The sequence below is a fragment of the Homo sapiens genome, chromosome 14, assembly GCF_000001405.40.
Source record: "Homo sapiens chromosome 14, GRCh38.p14 Primary Assembly".
NCBI lineage: Eukaryota > Metazoa > Chordata > Mammalia > Primates > Hominidae > Homo > Homo sapiens.
The window spans coordinates 76,576,668-76,597,863 of record NC_000014.9 but is presented as its reverse complement, the minus strand read 5'-3'; the positions used below and the strand labels follow the sequence as shown (position 1 = coordinate 76,597,863).

General features: G+C 47.0%; 1 long non-coding RNA gene across 2 annotated transcripts, besides 1 other annotated feature; it reads left to right on the top strand.

The window, feature by feature from the left end:
* Positions 1 to 1,781: 1,781 nt before the first annotated feature.
* LOC105370576 (uncharacterized) lies at positions 1,782 to 7,199 on the top strand. 2 transcript variants are annotated; one of them, XR_944042.2, is made up of 4 exons: positions 1,782 to 1,912; positions 2,154 to 2,669; positions 3,230 to 4,502; positions 5,269 to 7,199. It is a non-coding gene; the product is annotated as an uncharacterized LOC105370576 (long non-coding RNA). The 2 variants fall into 2 exon arrangements; XR_944041.2 differs by having other exon boundaries at positions 2,154 to 4,502.
* Positions 13,224 to 13,518: a silencer, noted in NCBI's record as "tiled region #14992; K562 Repressive non-DNase unmatched - State 22:ReprW". NCBI's record gives its function as "represses a minimal TATA promoter and a strong SV40 promoter by Sharpr-MPRA in K562 cells {active_cell/tissue: K562}" and the evidence as "EXISTENCE:reporter gene assay evidence [ECO:0000049][PMID:27701403]".

The window sequence follows — 21,196 nt, the reverse complement described above, 5'->3', positions numbered from 1 at the left end:
AAAAAAAATTTTTTTTTTTTGCAGAAAGCATTGCTGTTGAAAAATCTGATGACAATTTAATTTTCTTTCCGTAGGGGATTTTGTGGCAATCCTTTCCAGTCCCTCCTGTTTCAGAGAGGTGTGTGTTCCTGTACTGTCAGGAAGGGAATATGGGCAAGATGTCCTTGCTAGCTTTCTGCCCAAGACCTTGCTCTTTTGTTGTTTTTCTTGAGGGATACAAAATATGGGCTTTCACTTTCAGAGGCCTCTGTTTCCCTTCTCATATGACATGGTTTGGATCACTGTCCTGGCCCGAATCCCAGGTCATATTGTAATCCCTAGTGTTGGAAGTGGGGCCTGGTGGAAGATGATTGGATCATGGGCACAGTTTCTCCTGAATGGTTTAGCACCATTCCCTTCGTGCTATTCTCCTTGGTGCTGTTTTCATGATCATGAGTGAGTTCTCGTGAGATCTGGTTGTTTAAAAATGTATAGCACAGCCAGGTGCTGTGGCTCATGCCTGTAATCCCAGCACTTTGGGAGGCCGAGGTGGGCAGATTACTTGAGGCCAGGAGTTCAAGACCAGCCTGGCCAACATGGTGAAACCTTGTCTCTACTAAAAATACAAAAATTAGCTGAGCGTGGTGGCACACGTCTGTAATCCCAGCTACTCGGAGGGCTGAGGCAGGAGAATTGCTTGAACCTGGGCCGGAGGTTGCAGTGAGCCGAAATGGCATCACTGCACTCCAGCCTGGGTGACAGAGCGAGACTCTGTCTCAAAAAAAAAAAAAAAAAAAAAAGGAGCACCTCCCCTCTCTCTTCCTCCTGCACCAGCACCAGCCATCCTCCCCAGAACCTGAGCAGATGTCAGAATCATGCTTCCTGTACAGACTACAGAACCGTGAGCCAATTAAACCTCTTTTCTTCATAAATTACTCAGTCTCAGATATGTATTTATAGCAAGGCAAGAATGGACTAATACACTGTGTAACTTCAGCACTGTCCGACAGAACTCTGTGATAATGGGTTTGTTCTACATCTGCACGGTCCAGTGCAGCCACCATACAGCAGAAGCTAGTAGCCAAGCATTTGAAATGTGGCTGATGCAACTAAGAGACTCCATTTTAAAATGCAATTTTATTTTGTATTTATTTATTTATTTTTGACACAGAGTCTCGCTCTGTCACCCAGGAGTGCAGTGGCACCATCCCAACTCACTGCAACCTCCGCCTCCAGGGTTCAAGTAATTCTCCTGCCTCAGCCTCTTGAGTAGCTGGGATGACAGGCATGTGCCACCATGCCTGGCTAATTTTTTTATTTTTAGTAGAGATAGGGTTTTGCCATGTTGGCTAGGCTGGTCTCGAACTCCTGACCTCAGGTGATCTACCCACCTCAGCCTCCCAAAGTGCTGAGATTACAGGTGTGAACCACCCTGCCTGCCCTTAAAATTCAATTTTACTTTGGGAGGCCGAGACAGGCGGATCATGAGGTCAGGAGATCAAGACCATCCCGGCTAACACAATGAAACCCCATCTCTACTAAAAATACAAAAAAATTAGCCGGGCATAGTGATGGGCACCTGTAGTCCCAGCTACTTGGGAGGCTGAGGCAGGAGAATGGTGTGAACCCAGGAGGCGGAGCTTGCAGTGAGCCGAGATCGTGCCACTGCACTCCAGCCTGGCCGACAGAGTGAGACTCCGTCTCAAAACAAACAAACAAACAAAGATTCCATTTTAGTGAGGGCCATTGTTAGGTAGCCATATCTGGCCAGTGGCGGGGGGTGGGGGGCGGGGTGGGGCAGGGTTCCATATTGAGCAGTAGGGAGTTCTAGGTCTTTCTCTCCTTTGCTGTTACTCTCCCAGTCTGCAGTCTGAAGCCTTAGTTTGTAGTTCCTCCTCTGTGTGGGGTTTGTCCTGGAAAGAAGCCCTCACTGGTTAGTTTCAGGAGCTATCAGGTCCAGACTGCCTAGGGTGTCCTAACCTCAACTCTGGGTCTGCCGAGACCCCTCCCAGCTTCTCTGCTCCTCTTACGTTTTAGCCTGTCATGGTTCCAGTCAGCACTTCTGGGTGGTTTTGAGGGTCTCTGGGCTACTTCACCCACTCATATTTGGGGGTTCATGGGATTCCTCCTTCTGATTTTGTTGTACATAAGGATATTTTGTTTTTCTACCCTAGTTGCTCTGCCCATTTTCCTAGAAGGAAGATTCAAAGTCTATGGTGCCATTGGCGCCACTGTCCTATTTTTATTTTGAAGACCCTGCTGGTGTGTAGATCTCAGAAGTACAGGCATTCTTGTGGATTCTCTGCTGCTTAAGTTTCAGCACAAAAAGTCACATGTTACGAAGTGCTAAGTACGTGGGAGGCACCAAAAATATGTGTTAAATGAATGAAGGTTCTTAACCACATACAGTCAACGTTAGACATCTGAGCAGATTCTAATAGTGTAGCAGACACTCTGGCACACTGAGCAAAATTGGCAGAAATAGATCTCTTGTGCAATGATAATTCAATGGCCAGATCCACGTGGCAAGACAAGGGGATGGACTCCAGCTAGCTCTGTGCTGCCATTGGGCCTCCTCTATGCAGGTCAATGTACAGAAGAGCAACAATCCTCATAAAGCTGATTAACGGACCCCCAGCAATGGGGAGGAGGCAATGAATTTAGAACTTAGCCCTGGAAGAAAGTGAAAGGTATGATTTCAAGGGAAATATTTATTATGTGCATAACACAACAATGAAATTGTAGACTGAATAAGTGATTGATGAAATGAATAAGTCAAAGACTTGGGTAACATCTCTTGATGAGAAGGCAAGCTCTTGAACATGCTGGATATGGCTGTAGTCACCCTGACACTTCTCAGATTACTCTCTGGAATAGAAATAAACTCAGGGGCTCTTCTGGGCATTGACCCCCCAAATCTTATCCCTCTGAAGAAGTTTTCTCTATGCCTTCATCCTGAGCCTACTCAGTTTTGATCCCTCCTTGATGCCTTCTGCAGAGATAATGTTCTGTTTGTTTTGCCCTTCTATTAAAGAACTTTCTTTTATACGAAGAGCTTGTGGCTCTTCATATAAGAAAGAAAATATAAAAGAAAGTGGGGTTTTCCCTCTTCCCTTGGTTCTGGGGCTCTACCCAGCTCTGGAATCAAAGTGTCCTGCCAGAGAGTCAGATGCTTATTTTTCATTTTCAAATATCCTTGACTCAATGTCAACTAAAAAATCACTTTCAAAAAAATGTGCTTATGTTCCAGAGACCCAAAGAATGCACAGGGAAGTCGGGAGGCAGCAAAGTCTCCACCTCCACTGCCGGGGAGCCAGGACCCTCTTTGAGCTGGTGTCTGGAGGACCCTCTGCTGCCCTGGCCCAGTGCTTGCCTTTATTTGCCCCTCTGCCTTAGGCCCTGGCTCATCAGTAGGAAATCTCAGTGCTACCTGCTTTCCATCTGGTGTCCTTCCTTCAAGCACAGACACAGGCAGCTTCTGCTCAGCAGACCCCAGACCTAAGTCTTAGCAGGGAAAAGCCTCTTGGTGCCTCTCCTAGCTCCATGCCCTTTTCCTCTCATCTATTTCAAAAAGTCGGGATTGGGGAAGCAGTGAAGGAATCAGCTGCTTCTACTCTCAAGAAGAAAATAGCCTCACCCCATCTCCTGCAAAAGGAGTACTATCCAGCCTGTAATATTCAGGGTCCTCCGGAGAGTCAGAGCTGATAGGACATATACACAGAGAGAGAGAGAGAGAGATGAGAGGAGACTTACAAGCTGAATTAGCTTATGAAATTATGGAGGCTGATGAGCCCCACAACTGGCCGTCTGTGAGCTGGAGAACCAGGGAAGCCAGTTGCATGGCTCAGTCCAAGTACAAAGGCCAGAGACCCAGGGATGCCAATAGGGTAACTCTCAGTCCAGGGCCAAAGTGCTGAGAACCCAGGGGCCACTGGTAGAAGTCCCCAAATCCAAAGGCCAGAGAATCTGGAAGTGGGATGTTCAAGGGCAGGCAAAGAAAGGTGTCCCATCTCCAGACGAGAGAGAGAGTAAATTCTCATGTCCTCTGCCTTTTTGTTCCATCTCAGCCCTCAGCTGATTGGATGGTGTTTGTCTATATTGGGTGAGGGTGAATCTTCCTTACTTGGGCCACTGATTCAAATGCCAGTCTCTTCCAAAAACACCCTCATAGACATACCCAGAAATAAGGTCTTGCCAGCTATCTGGCTGTCCCTTAATCCAGGCAAGTTGATACCTAAAATGAACCATCACACAGCCCAAAGAGCAGACCATGAAGAGGTGAGAGCCCCACCCTCACTCTGAGCTTCACCAGCATGGCATACACACTGCATCCCAAGGGTCATGAGACATTCTGCTGGACACAGACCCATAGGAGACTTGTGGAGTTTGGGGATGAGAGTTGTTCCAGGGCCCTCCTTCAGCCTCATCCCGACCCAAAAGTGGCCATTCAACACTCCCCGAGGGACTTCTGTGTGGGCCAGGAGCATTTTGCCACCTTCAGAAGCATGAATCAAGCCTTGCAGGTGGGTGATACCAATATCCACCCACGTGACTGCGTGCTGCTGGTAGCCCTGGTTCTGATGGGTTTCTGGGGGCTTCTCTCTCTTAGACACAAAGGGACTTTGATGTCCAGGGGCGTTTGTCCTGAACTGGTTTCTAGAAGGCCTTTGTTCCCATTGCTTTGATGAGGACAATAAGACAATCACTGGCTGACTGGACTCACAGACAACCTGGTCAGGGGACAGGTTACGGGACCTAGGAGGTGACTCGGTGCCTTTCACACATGCTCCCATGACACCCCACCTTCCATAAGTCACCCATTTTGTGTGTTTTTCTTTTTTTTTTTTTTGAGACAGAGTTTCATTCTGTCACCCAGGCTGGAGTGCAGTGGTGTGATCTTGGCTCACTGCAACCACCATCTCCAGGGTTCAAGCAATTCCCATGCTTCCGCCTCCCGCGTAGCTGGGATTACAGGTGCATGCCACCACGCCCGGCTAATTTCTATATTTTTTAGTAGAGACGGGCTTTCACCATGTTGCCCAGGCTGGTGTCAAACTCCTGACCGCAAGTAATCTCCCCTCCTTGGCCTCCCAAAGTGCTGGGATTACAGGCATGAGCCACCATGCCCGGCCAAGTCACTCTTTTGGATCTACCAGTATACATTTCTCTAACTCTTCTAGAATCTATTTAACTTTAAAATTTGTGTCAGCTATATTTAGTTTGGCAGCAATTAATAGAAACTTGGAGCTATAGCAGTTTAAATAAGTTAATGGTTTGCTTTTCTCTCAGGCAAAACACTCGTGGAGACAGGAGGTCCAGGGCTTTTTGACAGCCCCACGATGTGGTTAGCGCCTCAGGCTCCTTCTGCCTTTCTGTTCTACCATTCTTAGTGCATGTGTCTGTCCTCAAGGGAAACTCAGGGCTGCAAGATGGCTGCTGCCGCTACAGTCATCATGCCCACCTTCCTGTCTTGAAGAAGAAAAGAAAGGAAGAGCTTGCCAGAGGAGTCAGACCCTTTTAAAAAGATTTCCTGAAGCCCCCCCAACAATAACTTCCTCTTACATCTCAGGAGCTGCCGCAACTGCAAAGAAGGCTAGGAAATGAACCGGGAGTATCGCCATCCTCAACAACATAGGGATTTTGTTGGCAAAGAATTATCTCATGGCACCTAAGCCTTACTGAGCACTTAGCTGACGTTGGATACTCTAAGCACCCCATATGCGTGACCTCATGGAACCCTCACAACAATGCCATGATGTGGGAACTATGATTACCCTATTTTTCATAACAGGAAGCCGAGCCATAAGGGTTTCAATCATGTTTCTAAATGACAGAGCCAGGATTTGGCTCTGAGCATGAGTTTTTCCCACACTCGGGCTATCTTCCACTTGAGCCCCATGCCCTCAGCCATCAGCTGACTGCTTAAATTCAGGTCCCCTGAACTGCCCCCATGGTCCCCAGCCCCCAACCTTGTCACTGTGGTGAAAGAGCTTGGTCTTTCAGCTCGGAGGTCCCCATTCAGAACCGTCCTTTGAGACCTGGGTGATTCCCCACCTCTGAGGCTCACCACCACCAGTGGTGCCTGGCACTTGTGAATTCCTGGTCCCCTAACCTGTCCCCTCCTATCTCTCTTCCATATGTCCCTGTCCCTCTTTCTATTATTCTGTTTTTCTCTTCCTCCCTCTCTTCTTTTCTTTCACAACATCCCTTTATCCTTTCTTTAAAATAAAAGAAACACAGTCTTCCGGCCAGGGCTTAGTTCTTATACTCTCACTTTCCTTCTGCCCCTCCCCTTCGCCACCCTTCTCCTTCTCTGGCCTCCCATTCCCCACACGGAGGCACCTCCCCCAACCCCCACTGACACACAGCCACCCCCGTGAGCACACGCTGTGGAGCAGGCCCAGAGGAAACCGCCAAGCCAGGGACATAAACATAATGGAGCTGGCACGGGCCCCTCTCCAGGGCTCGGCTTGGGAGTCACTCACTGTCACTAACAGGCCTACGTCCCCAACTGCCTTCATGATGCTTGGGAGGAGAGAGCCCAGAGTGAAGGGGACTTTTACTATCCTCAGAGGGAGCTTTGTTCCTGCTACAATCTTTTCTGCTCTGCTCTAGGCCGGCCAGCAGCTTGAAAGAGGTTTTGGTTTAAATGGGTCTCTCTCCTTCACTCAGCAAACATCAATTAATTAACCAGAATAGTCAACAGTACCAATAAAGAGCTTGCAGGACTGGCCTGTGGGGTGGAGGTGGCATCTTAGAAAACCATGCAGGGCAGCCCATTCTGCAATGGATGGGCTGAAGCCCCAGGGCTTGGTTTCCTGTCTCCCTCCCAACCCCCTCCTCTGCCTCTGACCCTTAGGCTGTGACTTTGGTGTAAAAGGAACTTGCTCTGTTACCAAACACATTTATGTAGCTGATCTTATTCATCTTCAGAACAACTCCAGTTTACCGATGAGGCAGTGCCCAAGTTCAAACAGCCATGAGCAGTGGAGCCACACTCCTGGATGATGAGGCCGTCCTGGTTTGCACAGACAACCTGCTTGTTTCAACAGGACCATGGAGGAGAGTAGAGGCCACCAGCCATATGCAGGGACCGTGCTCCGTTCCAGCTCTGCCATGGGAAGCTGTATGACCTTGCATGGCTGCCCAAAGCTCCTTTTGTCTTGCCCTGCCTCCCTCTATAAGTATGGAACGCGGCCGGGCGTGGCGGCTCACGCCTGTAATCCCAGCACTTTGGGAGGCCGAGGCAGGAGGCCGAGGCAGGAGATCAAGACCATCCTGGCCAACATGGTGAAACCCCGTCTCTACTAAGATACAAAAAATTATCCGGGCATGGTGGCATGCGGCTGTAGTCCCAGCTACTGGGCTGAGGCAGGGGAATTGCTTGAACCCGGGAGGTGAAGGTTGCAGTGAGCTGAGATTGCACCACTGCACTCCAGCCTGGTGACAGGGCAAGACTCCATCTTAAAAAAAAAAAATGGAATGCTGCACATTCACTTCCTCAGTCAGAGATGGCCCCATAACCCAGATGTCCCCAGTGGCAGGCAAAAGGTTTTTGTTTGGTTGGTTGGCTGGTTGGTTTTGGTTTTGGTTTTTTTTGAGATGAAGTCTCATTTTGTTGCCCAGGCTGGAGTGCAGTGGCGTGATCTCGGCTCTCTGCAACCTCCATCTCTTGGTTCAAGTGATTCTTGTGCCTTAGCCTCCTGAGTAGCTGGGATTACAGGTGTGCGCTGCCATGCCGCGTTAATTTTTGTATTTTTAGGCTGGGCATGGTGGCTCACGCCTGTAATCCCAGTACTTTGGGAGGCTGATGTGGGTGGATCACTGAGGTCAGGAGTTCGAGACCAGCCTGGCCAACATGATGAAACTCCGTCTCTTCTAAAAATACAAAAGTTAGCTGGGCATGGTGGCAGGCACCCATAATCCCAGCTATTGCAAGGGCTGAGGCAGGAGAATCACTTGAACCTGGAAGGCAGAGGTTCCAGTGAGCCGAGATCGCACCACTGCACTCCAGCCTGGGCAATAAGAGCAAAACTTTGTCTCAAAAAAAAAAAAAGAAAAAGATTTGTATTTTTAGTAGTTTAGGGGTTTCACCATGTTGGCCAGGCTGGTCTCGAACTCCTGGCCTCAAGTGATCCACCCACCTCAGCCTCCCAAAATGCTGGGATTACAGGTGTGAGCCACTGCACCCAGCCAAAAAGAAGTTTTTAGAAGTCCCCAGTGAAGGTTTGTTGTCCGGGATTTAAAAGGAGGGCTTTTTTGCCTATCCCCTTCTCTCCTGCTTTGCGTCATGGTATGAAGATATGACACTGGGAGCTGAGGCAGCCATCGTGTGAGCATGAGGTGGCGAGCTTGAGGACTGAAGCCAACATATTAGAGCACGTGAAGAGCCTGAGTCATGGAACCCTGCCTCCAGCTATCAGCTCCCCCTTCAGACTTCTTATTATGGGAGGAAAATACACCTTTACTTGTTGAAGTTTTTACAATGGGCAGAATGATGTCACCATTCCCAGAGATGTTCATGTTTTAATCCCTGGAATCTATGACTATGTTAGGTTATTTGGCAACAGGAAATAGTGGTAGCAGATACAATTAAGGTTGCTAATCAGCTGGATTTAAAATGAGGAGATTATCCTGGAGTGTCTGAATGGACCTATATAGATGTATCCCTCAAGACATATATATCTCTCAGAGAGAGAGAAAATTTATATTATTTTTTATTTTTTTATTTTTTTTGAGACGGAGTCTCACTCTGTCGCCCAGGCTGGAGTGCAGTGGTGTGATCTCGACTCACTGCAACCTCCTGGGTTGGAGCAATTCTCCTGCCTCAGCCTCCCGAGTAGCTGGGATTACAGGCACCTGCCACCATGCCTAGCTAATTTTTGTATTTTTAGTAGAGATGGGGTTTCACTACGTTGGCCAGGCTGGTCTTGAACTCCTAACCTCAGGTGATCCACCCACCTCGGCCTCCCAGAGTGCTCGGATTACAGGTGTGAACCACTGCATCAGGCCAAGAAAAATTTATTTTAAGGAATTGGCCCATGAGCCTGAAATTTGTAAAGCAGTCTGGCAGGCTGGAAATTCAGGGAATAGTCAATGTTGAAGTCTTGAGTGCAAAGTCTGCAGGCTGAAAATTCAGGCAGAAATTCTATATTGCAGTCTTGAGGCAGAACTGCTCCTACTTTGAAACCTCAGTCTTTTCTCAGCCTTCAACTGACTGCATCAAGACTCTCAGGTAATAGAGGGTCACCTGCTTTACTGAAAGTCTACTGATCTGAGGTGAGTGCAGTGGCACATGCCTGTAATAGAAGCTACTCGGGAGGCTAAAGCGGGAGGGTTGCTTGAGGCCAGGAGTTCGAGGCCACAGCGAGCCATGATCATACCACTACACACCAGCTGGGGCAACGGAGCAAGACTCTGACTCAAAAAAAAAAAAAGTTTAATTTAAGTGTTAATCACATCTAAAAACTACTTTTATAGCAACAGGCCAGGTGGGGTGGCTCATGCCTGTAATCCAGCACTTTGGAAGGCTGAGGGAGGTGAATCATTTGACACCAGGAGTTTGAGACCAGCCTGGCCAACATGGTGAAACCCCCCCCGCCCTACAAAAGATTAAAAAACCGGGCATGGTGGCCTGTCCCTGTGGTTCTAGCTACTTGGGAGGCTGAGACAGGAGGATCACCTGAGCTCAGGTGGCCAAGGCTGCAGTAAGCTGTGATCACACCACTGCACTCCAGCCTGGGCTACAGAGCGAGACTCTGTCTCAAGAATAAATAAATAAATAAATAAATAAATAAATAAATATTTTAAAAGCTACTTTATAGCAATAGCTAGACTAGTGTTTGACCAAACAACTAGGCACCATAGCCTTGCCACGTTGACACATAAAAGTAACCATCACAAGGGTCCCCAAACGTACAAGAGGGAGGCAAAAGAGTCAGTGTCACAGTGATTCTATGTGGCAAAGACTCGACCGGCATTGCAGGCTTTGAAGATGGAATGGGGCCATGAGCCAAGGAATGCAGGACACCACTAACAGCTGGAAAAGGAAAGAAAATGGTTTTCCCCTAGAGCTTCTAGAAAGCAACAAGCCCTGCTGATGCCTTGATTTTAGCCTTGTAAGACCTATTTGGACTTCTGACCTCCAGAACAGTAAGATGATAAATATGTGTTGTTTTAAGCCTCTAAACTTTATTATAGCAGCACAAGGAAATGAATACAGCCACTGTTTGTTCAGATTTTTTTCATGCACTTACAGCCAAAAGCATACCTAACATTCACTTGGTAATGTCACTTTATCTCTCTGAACTTTCAGTTCATCTCTGATGAATGGTAGGGGGTGAGGGGAGAGACTGAAGTTCTCTAGGCCTGTTTCTACCCTGCCTATGTCGGATCTAAATCTACCTGACTCAAGGGTGGTCTATTACTCCCTTACCAAGGTCCTCCTCTGCAGAACTGTATAAGTGGCACTCCAGGATGTTGGCCCTTCTTGCTAGCCATGGCCTTTGAGGCTCCCCAGACACATGCTAAGCACTTTAAGGAAAGGGGCCATGTCTTCTCTTTGTATCTTCTCACAGCAACCACTGCATGAATCAACTTTCTAGCATTCTCCTGTCACTAGCTGTGTGGCCTGGGACACATTACTTAACCTCTCTGGGCTGCAGGCTATTTGTCTCTAATAAGCAGATAATAGAAGTACCTGCCTCATAGGCTTATTATATAAGGAATAATTGAGATAATGAACGTGAAACATTTAGCACAGTACCTGACAACACACACTAAATAAATATTACTTTTAATGGTGATATTATTCACCACAATAAATATATTGAAAAGGCATTATTCTTGCCATTTTGCTATTAAGAAAACATATATTCAAAGAGGTCAGTTAATTTGCATGAGATTATGGAGCTCAAGAGGGCAAAGTTAGACTTGGAACCTAAATCTACCTGGTAAAATTAAAGGTAATAACACATGTAAAGTGCCTAGAACAGTGCCTGGCACATACCAGGCTCTCAGTAATGATAACTGTTATCGTATTTCTACTCCCTTAATTTATCTCTATTTATTCAATCGACACTTATTGCATGCCAACTACATATGTGTCAAATCCTGAACTAAGCAGGACGACTGCAAAGATAAAAGACAGAGACCCTGAGCTCAAGGCTATAACTACTGAGCTTGATATTCCTATAAATTACTGGCAAGAGTGCAGGACACCCACAAGGACAAGGATGGGGACAGCGGGGACCCCGTACTCTCTTCCCTCTCGTTACCCATCAGGGCTACTTTTCATTCCTTGCAATGGATTTTTCCCTTCCCATCTCCAGGCCTTGCTCACTTCCACTTCCTCACTGACCCCAGGAAGGCACCCACTCCTTCTCCCCTTGTCCGTTTCTGCTTTGGAAATCCCATCCACCCTTCAAAGCCCAACTTGAATCCCTGCCCAACCATAGCGGCTTCCTGGATGATCCTACCCAATTTTCCTTTGAACAACTCAGGGTGCACTATCCAGGGTGATCATCTAAGTATGTGATAATCAGCTGTCATGGGCGCTGGCTGGTCAGAATGAGCCCAGCTGCAAAGACCCATAAGGCTCCACCAGGCTCACCAGCTGCATGGCCACCCTTTGAGGCCACTCAGCTGACACTAGATGTTTGTGGCCTTGAACGAGAGGCATTTTTAAATTTTTTCATCTTTTTGTTCTTTATAACTAGATTGTAAGCTTCTTTGAGTTCCTCATAGCATCCGCCTTTATCATATGTATCTGTCAGGAATACTTGTAGATGCAAATAACAGAAAAATTATCAATGTTTTAGAAAAATAGAATGCTATTTTTCCCCAAAACAAGAATGCTGGGAGTAGATGACTTCTAGGGATTGTTCTGTGGCCCAGTGGCATCAGGACCAGCATTTCTGTGTGTCTCTTGGCCTTTCCCTCATGTTCAAAAACAGCTGCCAAAACTCCAAATAGAAGGAAAGAAACCGCGTTACCCATAGTGTCTGTCCCTTTAATTTGACTTCCCTCTTATCGTATTGCCTGCTTCAGCGTCACGGGACCAGCCCAGCCTCCACGGAGGTTGGTGTAATAGAACAAATGTTTATGTCCCCTCCAAACTCATATGTTGAAATTTTCACCCCTAAAGTGATGACATTAGGAGGCGGGGCCTTTTGGAGGTGACTGGGTCATGGGGGAGGAGCCCTCATGAGTGGGATTAGTGCCTTTGTAGGAGACCCCGGAGAGATCCCTCTCCCCTCCCACTGTGTGAGGATGCCATGGCCGTCTAGCGAGCGGACCCTCACCAGACACTGAATCCACTGGTGCCTTGATCTTGGACTTCCAGCCTTCGGACTGTGAGAAATAAACTCCTGTTGTTTATAAGCCCTGTTGTTTATAAGCCACTCAGTTTATAGTATTGTTTTAGCAGCCTGAATAAAACAAGAAAGTTGGAAATAGAAGTGTTTCCCTTTTCCAGTCTCTGAGGTGGTGGCAGGCTAGGAATGATGGGGCTGGGAGTGGGCATTATGTCAGGTGGCCAGCCAGCAGCGTCTGCCACACCACACCTGAATGAATGAATGAAGGAAGAAAGGAAGGCAGCAACCAATGAATGAATCAATGAATGAGTCCATCAATCAGCCTAAGAGAGGGTTCCACTTGGACAAGTCTAGGGTAGGAAGGAACCCAGGGATGTGGTCTTCAGAGCTCTATGTGGCCACTGGGTCCGGCCTGCACAGAGTTTCTCCCAAATCTCCCCCCAGCCCTCCTTCTTTCCCTTCTCCCAGCCCCTTTGTGGGCTTCCCTTAAGAGTGGAACCCCAATACAGCTGTTTACGGCCCTGAAGAGACAAGCAGGGCTCTGTCCCTCCTCTAGTTCCTGCCCCCATCCTGTCCATACAAGATTGATAATGAAACCAATACCTTTTACCAGCGTAATTTTCATATTTAATGAGCGTGACTCAAAAACTATTACATTAATTAGTCAAATCCCACAAACCGTTAATGGTGCACGCAGTAATTAATATTGTATTCAATTAAAAAATGACCTGTTTCGGGGGCTTCTCCCAGGTTGGGAGCATGGGGGCTGGGGTGTTTGCAGGCGTGCAGGGGCCTGTTTGCAGGCAGAAGCCCTCTGGTCCTGCTGCCCTTTCATTTCCCTTTCCTCTTCCCAGTGATACCTGGAGTGAGAATGCACCAGGAGAACGTGGGTGCTTCCCACCCGCCACCCTGGCCAGCCACTGGCTTCCCCTCTGTTTTGCCGCACTCCCCTCCACCTCTTCCCCCTCTGCTGAGCCGACAGCCTACTTGCTGTGATTTATGGGAGGGCCTGGCACAGGGCTCACGAACTGGAAAATTTCCAGTTTACACAAGAATTCCCTGAAAAATGAGCTTGCTTAATTTATTTCTTTCATTAACGAGTTCGAACTGTGAGATCATCTTTCTGAGGGCCCCTCCGGTGCCACCCGGCATTGTTCATACATCCTGACAAGCTGCTCCCTGGCCTCCCCTCCTGCCTGCTGGGCCAGTGGCCAGGGCCCCAGGGAGGGATGAGGGGCTGACCTCAGTTGGTGTCTGCCTGGTGGCCCAACCACTGGGACTGGGGCCTTTGGCCAATCAGGGATCCACTTTCCTTCCACCCTGTTAATAACTGGGATTGAAGCTCAAAGCTAAACCAACAGGAGCCAGAGGCTTGATGTTGGCTGGATGCACTTACAGAGGGCACGGCACTTTGCTAGGCCTGGGTGGCAGCAGCCAGGAGGAGTTTAAGTCAAAGTGCTCATCAACCGGGGACGTAAGATCCAAGGATGGAGACAGCACCGATAATCAGGACACAACTGGAGGACAAGGCCTAGGCCCTGCCCTCATGTGTGGCCTGGAACGAGAGTGTCCAGGGGCCCTCAACCCGCAGCTCTCCCACATCCCTCCCAACAGGACACCTAGCTCTCACCCTACACTTTGGCTCCCTCTCCCAAACAGCTGCCTCTGGGCCACCCATCAGGCCTGGGATGAGCTTGACCCACCTCCCAAGGGAAGGGCCAGGAAGGAGGCCCACATAAATTCTGGAAGCCACTTAGGGCCAAGTATACAGGGAATTCTGAGGATGTGGAATAGGGTCTACAGAAGAACACAGGCTTGGTTCCGGGAATCCTTGTGCCACAGGGAGGAGCTCTGCTATAGAAGAGGGACAGTGGAGATCCAGGGCAGAGGCTCCCTTGCCTGGGTTAAGGGCAGACCTTATGAGATTACGGTGGAAACAATTTGAAACAGCTGAAAGCCAATGGGGCAGCATGTCGTGTGGTTGGAGTACCTGGGCTTTGGAGCAGGACCACCTGGTTGGAATCCTGACTCTGCCATGTTCTTGCTGTGGAACTTTGGGCAAATTACCTACCCTCTCTATTCTCAGGGTCTTGATTTTAGGAGGAGGATAAAAAAAATTGATTCTTCATAGGGCTATTGAGAAGTTAAATATGTAGTGCACAGAGCCCTCTATCTGACACAGAGTAGGAATTAAATTAGTGTAAGTGATGACTACTGTATCAATGGCAGCATTATTAGATGATGTAATGACAGTGCTTTGCAAACATCCAGCCTTGTGATTGATGTTACAGACTCGGGGCACTTGGCTCTACCATTTGCTTGCTGTGGGATCTTGGGCAAAGCACATAACCTGCCTGAACCTCAATTTCCTCAACTGCAAAATAGAGATTATTATAACCACCTCATAGGATGTTGTGCAAATAGAGTGGAATAATGCATGTTAAGGGTCTAGCACATGGTAAGTCTTTAGACCAAGTCAGTTATTATTATCTATTAACAACTATTACCCCATCTAAATGTTTGGGATTCATCATGATTATCACCCTCCAAACAGATATTTTAGTGCTTCCTTTTCCACTCTAAAATAAAATCCATAATAATATAACCTGAGTAAATGCATAATTTAAAAATAATACTACAGATTCTAAATACAATATGAAGAAAAATAAAATAAGAGTAATTTACTTAAAAAACAATATGACTTTAAGTGTAACACTAAAAAAGTAATTTCTAACAAAACAATTTGTATTTTAACCTATAAATGATCAGGTATGATGGCACTAGAAGGCATAAAGGAGGAGTCTGTTGGTGAAATCTGAGTGAGGTCTATAGTCTAGTTAATTGCACTGCACCAATCAATTTCCTGATTTTGATAATGAGCTATAGGTATATAAGATACTTCCACTGGGGGAAGCTGGGTTATGAGTACATGGTACCTCCCTGTACTACTTTTGCAGCTTCTTGTGAGTCTATAATTATTTCATAATTTATAAGTGGATTTCTTAGCTACAAATGCAGACTAATATATACTGCCAAATGAGCAGCCAAATACGATGAATAGTGTTTCCATTGTGATTTCATTTTCTGAAATAGTGAACAATTCTTGGCAAGGTCATGAACAAAACAAAGTTCAGTTTTACCTTGATTTACAAGAGTTGAATTGCTGGAAAATTTGGTGATATTAAAACTCTACAAAAAACTGCTTTGTATTTTTATGTAAAAAAAGTGTTAAGCCAGACTCAGATCCCTCAGGTCAAGTTTGTCATACATATTAATGTCCAGTGAACATCCAAAATTCACATGAGCATTGGTGGTATAGTGGTGAGCATAGCTGCCTTCCAAAATTCACAAGAGACATGAAAGAACCTTTGTCATGTAGGATTATCCTGTGTGTTTGCCATCCTCCCTGGACACGCCCACTAAATGCTGTGGGGAAACACAATCACTGAAATTGCCCACCTCCCTGTCCCCCTTCTCAGAGGGAAGAAACTTCCACTGAGAGCCATTAATATATAGAGGGTTCTAGTCATCCTTCTCATTCCTAACATGGTGGGCACATTTAACACTCACTGTCTTGAATTTGGGCCCATAGTGGTAGGCTTCCCTTGTCCCTACCACTCTAGGAAATAGCTCTCATCCCTTCTTTCTGCAGAGCCTTCCTCAACTCTGTATTCCTTTAGCCTTGACCATGTCAGCATCACCCTTATAAATGAGCCTTTTGAAGCCAGGTGCCTGTAGCTGAACGCCTGGAGGCAGCCACCATCTTCCCAAGAGAGGACTGACTCATTCTCTCTGCCAGGTGCCAAGAGAGAGATGAGGCCTATCCACATTTCCAAGGGCCTTCCCTGTGAAGCCCAGTCCTGCACCTGCACCACACTGCTGCTCTTCAGCCAGCTCTCTAGAATTTGAAACCTGGGTAGGAGTTCCCACCATCCTACCCCCAACTAGTACATCTTCAAAGAATAAACTGCCCAATCAGCCTTCACATCTTCTTACTAATAAAAGGAAAACATGGAGCTAAAAAAATAATGACCCTTGGCAAACTGATATCAAACATAACCAAAAATGCTTAGTAGCTGTGTGAACTTGAACAAATCACGTAATCTCTCTGAGCCTTAATGTCCTCAAACTGTATAAGGGTCATGTAGAATAGTTTATATGAAAGAGCTCCGTAAAATGTAAAGATTATATTAATATGATTAATTGCTATCACTGTTATTGTTATTTGAGCCAGTTCAAATATTCATTTAAATATGCCAATGGATAAAAGAGCAGTGGGCGGGAACCCCAAGTTATAGGAACATAGAATGCATGCACTCTTCAAAACCATCATCTAGATCAGAGGTTGGCAAACCACAGCCTGTGGGAAAATCTGGCCCACAGTCTGTTTTTGTAAATAAAGTTTTATTGGAACACAGCCATACTCATTTGGCTACATATTGCCTAGGGGTGCTGCAACAGGAGAGTTCAGTAGTGTAACAGAGAGCATATGGCAGGCAAAGCCTAAAATATGTGTTACCTAGCCCTTTACAGAAAAAGTTTGGGGACCCCTGGTCTGCACAGTCAACAGAAGGATCTGTCTAAAAGCTCCAACCATGTTACAATCCACCTCTTCAACAGTACCCTGTTCAACAAGGAACATAGGCCAGGCTTCAGCCCACCCAGCCAGCCTCATCTTCCTGTTACAGACTTCATGCTTTAGAAAACCAAGCTTCTTTCTTGCAGTTTCCTTGCTCAGTGTTGTTTCTCATCCCATGCCTTTGCCAAGGACGTGAGGCTGGCTTGGGATGGTTCTGGCAGGTTGAGACCTAAGCTCCTTTTCTAGCCTCTGCTTGGATCTCTTAGCCCCATCCCAGGAGCCTTCAGCCCCTCTGTCCTTGAAACAGGAATACAGCATGAGGGTCCACTGCCTCCTCTTAGCCTGGGAAGGCCTGAAGGCGTGAGCATCACTCAGGAACTTGGCTCTGGAGTGTGTAAAGCCCCAGTTCCATGCCTGTCACCCAGGAAGCAGCAATAAATAGTCACTATTATTATCGCTTAGCACCCACTTTTGGGTCCTGCCAAGTTTCAGAGTGCTCCAACTTTCATGGGGCCCTTGACCTGCTGTGAGAATTTAAGGACCTGCTGTGAGAATTAACCATCTACCTGCTGCTCCAACCCATTCTCTCCTCTCTGGGAGAGGCAGGGATTTTTCTAAGGCAGGTGACACTATAATTTCAAGTGCTCTGTAATGACTTCTTAGTTACACAGACACTTAATAGAATTTCCTGAGATAGAGGTTGAGTCCACAGTAATTCTAGACCTCCTATTGACTTGAGTGTAATTGCTGCTAATAGACAAAGAGGTAATTACTGTGTGACCTGCCTTCTGGTTTGGAAGCAAACAGTCACACATGTTGTGCTGTTGGGGGCATCTGACAAGTGTTACTCTTGTGCCCAATTGTGCCCGACCGAGTCTCTGCCCTACTTGAAAAGACCCAGTGATCCAATCAATCACAGGACCGCTGAATCTCTGGCTGGCAAGGGATATTGAGGTCCTGTGGTAGGCAGGCTAAGGGTGCCTGAAGATGTTCATGTCCTAATCCCCTGAACCTGGGAATATGTTATGTTATATGAAAAAAGGGAATTAAGGTTGCAGATGGAATTAAGAATGTCAGTCAGCCGACCTTCAAATAGGAAGATTGTCTTGGGTCATCTGGGTGGGCCTAATATAATCATGAATGCGAAAGAGGGAGGCAGAAGAGGTCAGAATGATATGATATGAGAAGAACTAGACCCACCACTGCTGGCTTCGAAGGTGGAGAAAAGATCCACACGCCACAAAACGGGGTGGCCCCTATAAGCTGGAAAAGGAAAGAAAATGGATTCTCCCTGCGAGCTTCCACAAAGGACCACAGCCCTGCCACACCTTGATTTTAGTCCTGTGAACCTGATGTTGCATTTCTTTTTCCTTTTTTTTTTTTTTTTTTGAGATGGAGTCTCGCTCTGTTGCCCAGGCTGGAGTGCAGTGGCATGATCTTGGCTCACTGCAACCTCTGCCTCCTGGGTTCAAGTGATTCTCGTGCCTCAGCCTTCTGAGTAGCTGGGATCACAGGCGTGCGCCACCATGTCCGGCTAATTTTTGTATTTTCAGTAGAGACGGGGTTTTACCATATTGGTCTCAAACTTCTGGCCTCAAGTGATATATCCGCCTCGGCCTCCCAAAGTGCTGGGATTACAGGTGTGAGCCACCATGCTGGGTCTGATGATGCATTTCTAATTTACAGAACTATAAGGTAATAACCTGTGCCATTGGAAGCCACTGAGTTCATGGTCACTTGTTACAGCAGTTGTTGAGTACGATTGTCGGCCCCTCGTCTATTCCAGCCCCTTTTACCTGATACAGAAACCCCTCTGCAGTAAGCCTGATTTATGGCCATTTTCCAGCCTCTGCTTGAGGACTTCTGGTATGAGGAGCTCACTGCTCAGGACACAGCCTATCCGATATTGGTCGGATATCATTGTTGGAAAAGACTCCCCTTGTGGGTTCAAAATTCATCTCCCATAACTTTGAATCATTTGTTCTAGTTCTTCCTTGGGGACGCACAGACTTACACACTCACGTACATACACAAGTGCATTGAAGTTTCCCATGATGGCTCTTCACATATATGAAGAACTCCCCAGAGCCTGGCATGAAGAAAGCACCATAAACATTTGCTGATGGACAAATGAAAAAATGCAGCTCCTGCAGCTCCCCTGTGACAGTGTCATGAACTGGAGCTGACCTCTGTTATTTTTGTCCCCAGCTGTAGCGTCTACTCTCCCCTTTCTCCGCTAGCAACACCCAGATTCTCCTTGGGAAATGCCCTCCTTAGCTCTTCATTTGGCTTGGCTGACAAAGCATTGCACCCCTGTCCCGCCTCTGGCCACAGTGATGGATTCAGGGGTGGCACACAACTCAATCCCGGAAACTGGAACTGATGAGACTCAGTTCTTGGACTTTGGTGGGGAGAGGACCATTGAGAAAAGGGCCTGGCCGGGTGCAGTGGCTCACGCCTGTAATCCCAGCTCTCAGGGAGGCAGAGGCGGGAGGATAGCTTGAGCCCAGGAGTTCTAGACCTGCCTGGGCAATATAGAGAGACCCCGTTCTCCACAAAAAGGAAGAAAAAAAAAAAGACGAGAAAGGGGCCCTGTTCTAATGAGAGGCCCAGGAATCTGACTTTTAATAAGTACAAGTACTCCAGTTTCTTGTTTTGCACATCCTGCGGGTCGCATTTTGAGAAACATTGCATGGGGGTTGTTTATCTGGAATCTTAATCTGAACTCCACAAATGTAGACTCAAATACCAACCCTGAAGGTGGATTTTAACTCAGGACTTTATCAGGGCAAGAAGAGGATTATTGGAGAAGACCTAAACCCATATGAGAATAAACCATGGATAGGTTTGTTAAACATAAAACTATAGTGAATTAATCACCTCAACTTTTTTCAGTTCACCCTTTCACTTGGGGTCTGGTGAACCTGCTAAACAGTCAGGCCCACTCATGTGCTCGCTCTCTCTCTCTCTCTCTCTCGTTCTCTCTTTCTCTCTCTCTCTTAGCCCATGTGGACACCCAGATTACGGAGAACAAAGAGAAGCCTAATCTGAGGTTCCCTCCATTGCCTCACCCCCTTCCAGACTCAGAATAAGTGAAAGCCTTGTTCCCATGAATGCTCAGGGCCAAGGGGCTCTGGGGAGTCTCTTGGGGCACAGGCACTCTATCCTCACTGGAGAGGCCTGAGTGTTAGCAACCAGGCCTTTGGAAGTTCCCCAGGGTTCTGTGCCCTCTGAGGCCCAATCCAGATACCAGCCATTCTCTCTTCTGGTCTGAAGGACAAATGGGGAGCTGCCTCCAGAGGCTTGATTATAGTCTATAGTTTGGGACTGCCCTATGATCTCCTGGGATGTGTAGTTGGAATTAGCGGTGCTGTCCAGGCCCCTGCAGCCACCTCTCTAACAGAGCCAGGGCTTGGCACACAATTGGCTCTTAGAAATATATGTTGGATGTACGATTGAATGAGAGCAGATAGAGAGGGGGAGAGGGAAAATGGGAAGAGAACAGTTCTTTCAACTCCCACTTGGCTAGAATAAGGAGCTACTTTAATAAACTTCCCATCAAAATGGCATTGCTTGCATGATAACCAAGAAAGCAGAAACAATCCAAATGCCCATGAAATTCCCATGGATAAGTGGATGAACAAAATGTGGTATATCCACACCATGGAATATTATGCAGCCATAAAAAGGAATGAAGTTCTGATATGAGCTACAGTGTGGATGAACCTCAAAATGCTGGGTGGCAGAAGCCAGACACAAAAGGTCACCTGTTGCATGATTCCATTTATATGAAATATCTAGAATAGGTAAATCCATAGAGACAGCAGATTAGTGGTTGCCAGGGGAAGGCGGGGAGGGAGTAATGACAGTGAATGCTTAATGATCACGGGGTGTCCCTTGAAGGTGATAAAAATACTTGAAACTAGATAGAGATGATGGTGGCACAACATCGTGAATATACTAAGTGCCATTGAATTTTGTATACTTTCAAATGGTTAGTTTTATGATATGTGCATTTCACTTCAGTTTTTTTTATATTGCATGATATATTAATCTTGTCGCAGGGCTATCTGGCAGCCTTAATGCTATTTGGCATCCCATCCTCCAGCTGTGAGGGCTATTTCATTCTCAAGGACTCATTTTGCAGTTTGGGGGTCATTCCAGCACTGTACCCTCCCATGACCTTCCCCTCCACTTCTCCCCTGGTCTAAGGCATTGCTAGAATTTCACTTCCTGGTGGTTTCTCATTTGGGCTTCCTCCACCAGGCTATTGCTATCTCTGCTTCCCTGTTCCCTGCTCCTTTCAGTGGCCAAGCCTCAGTGG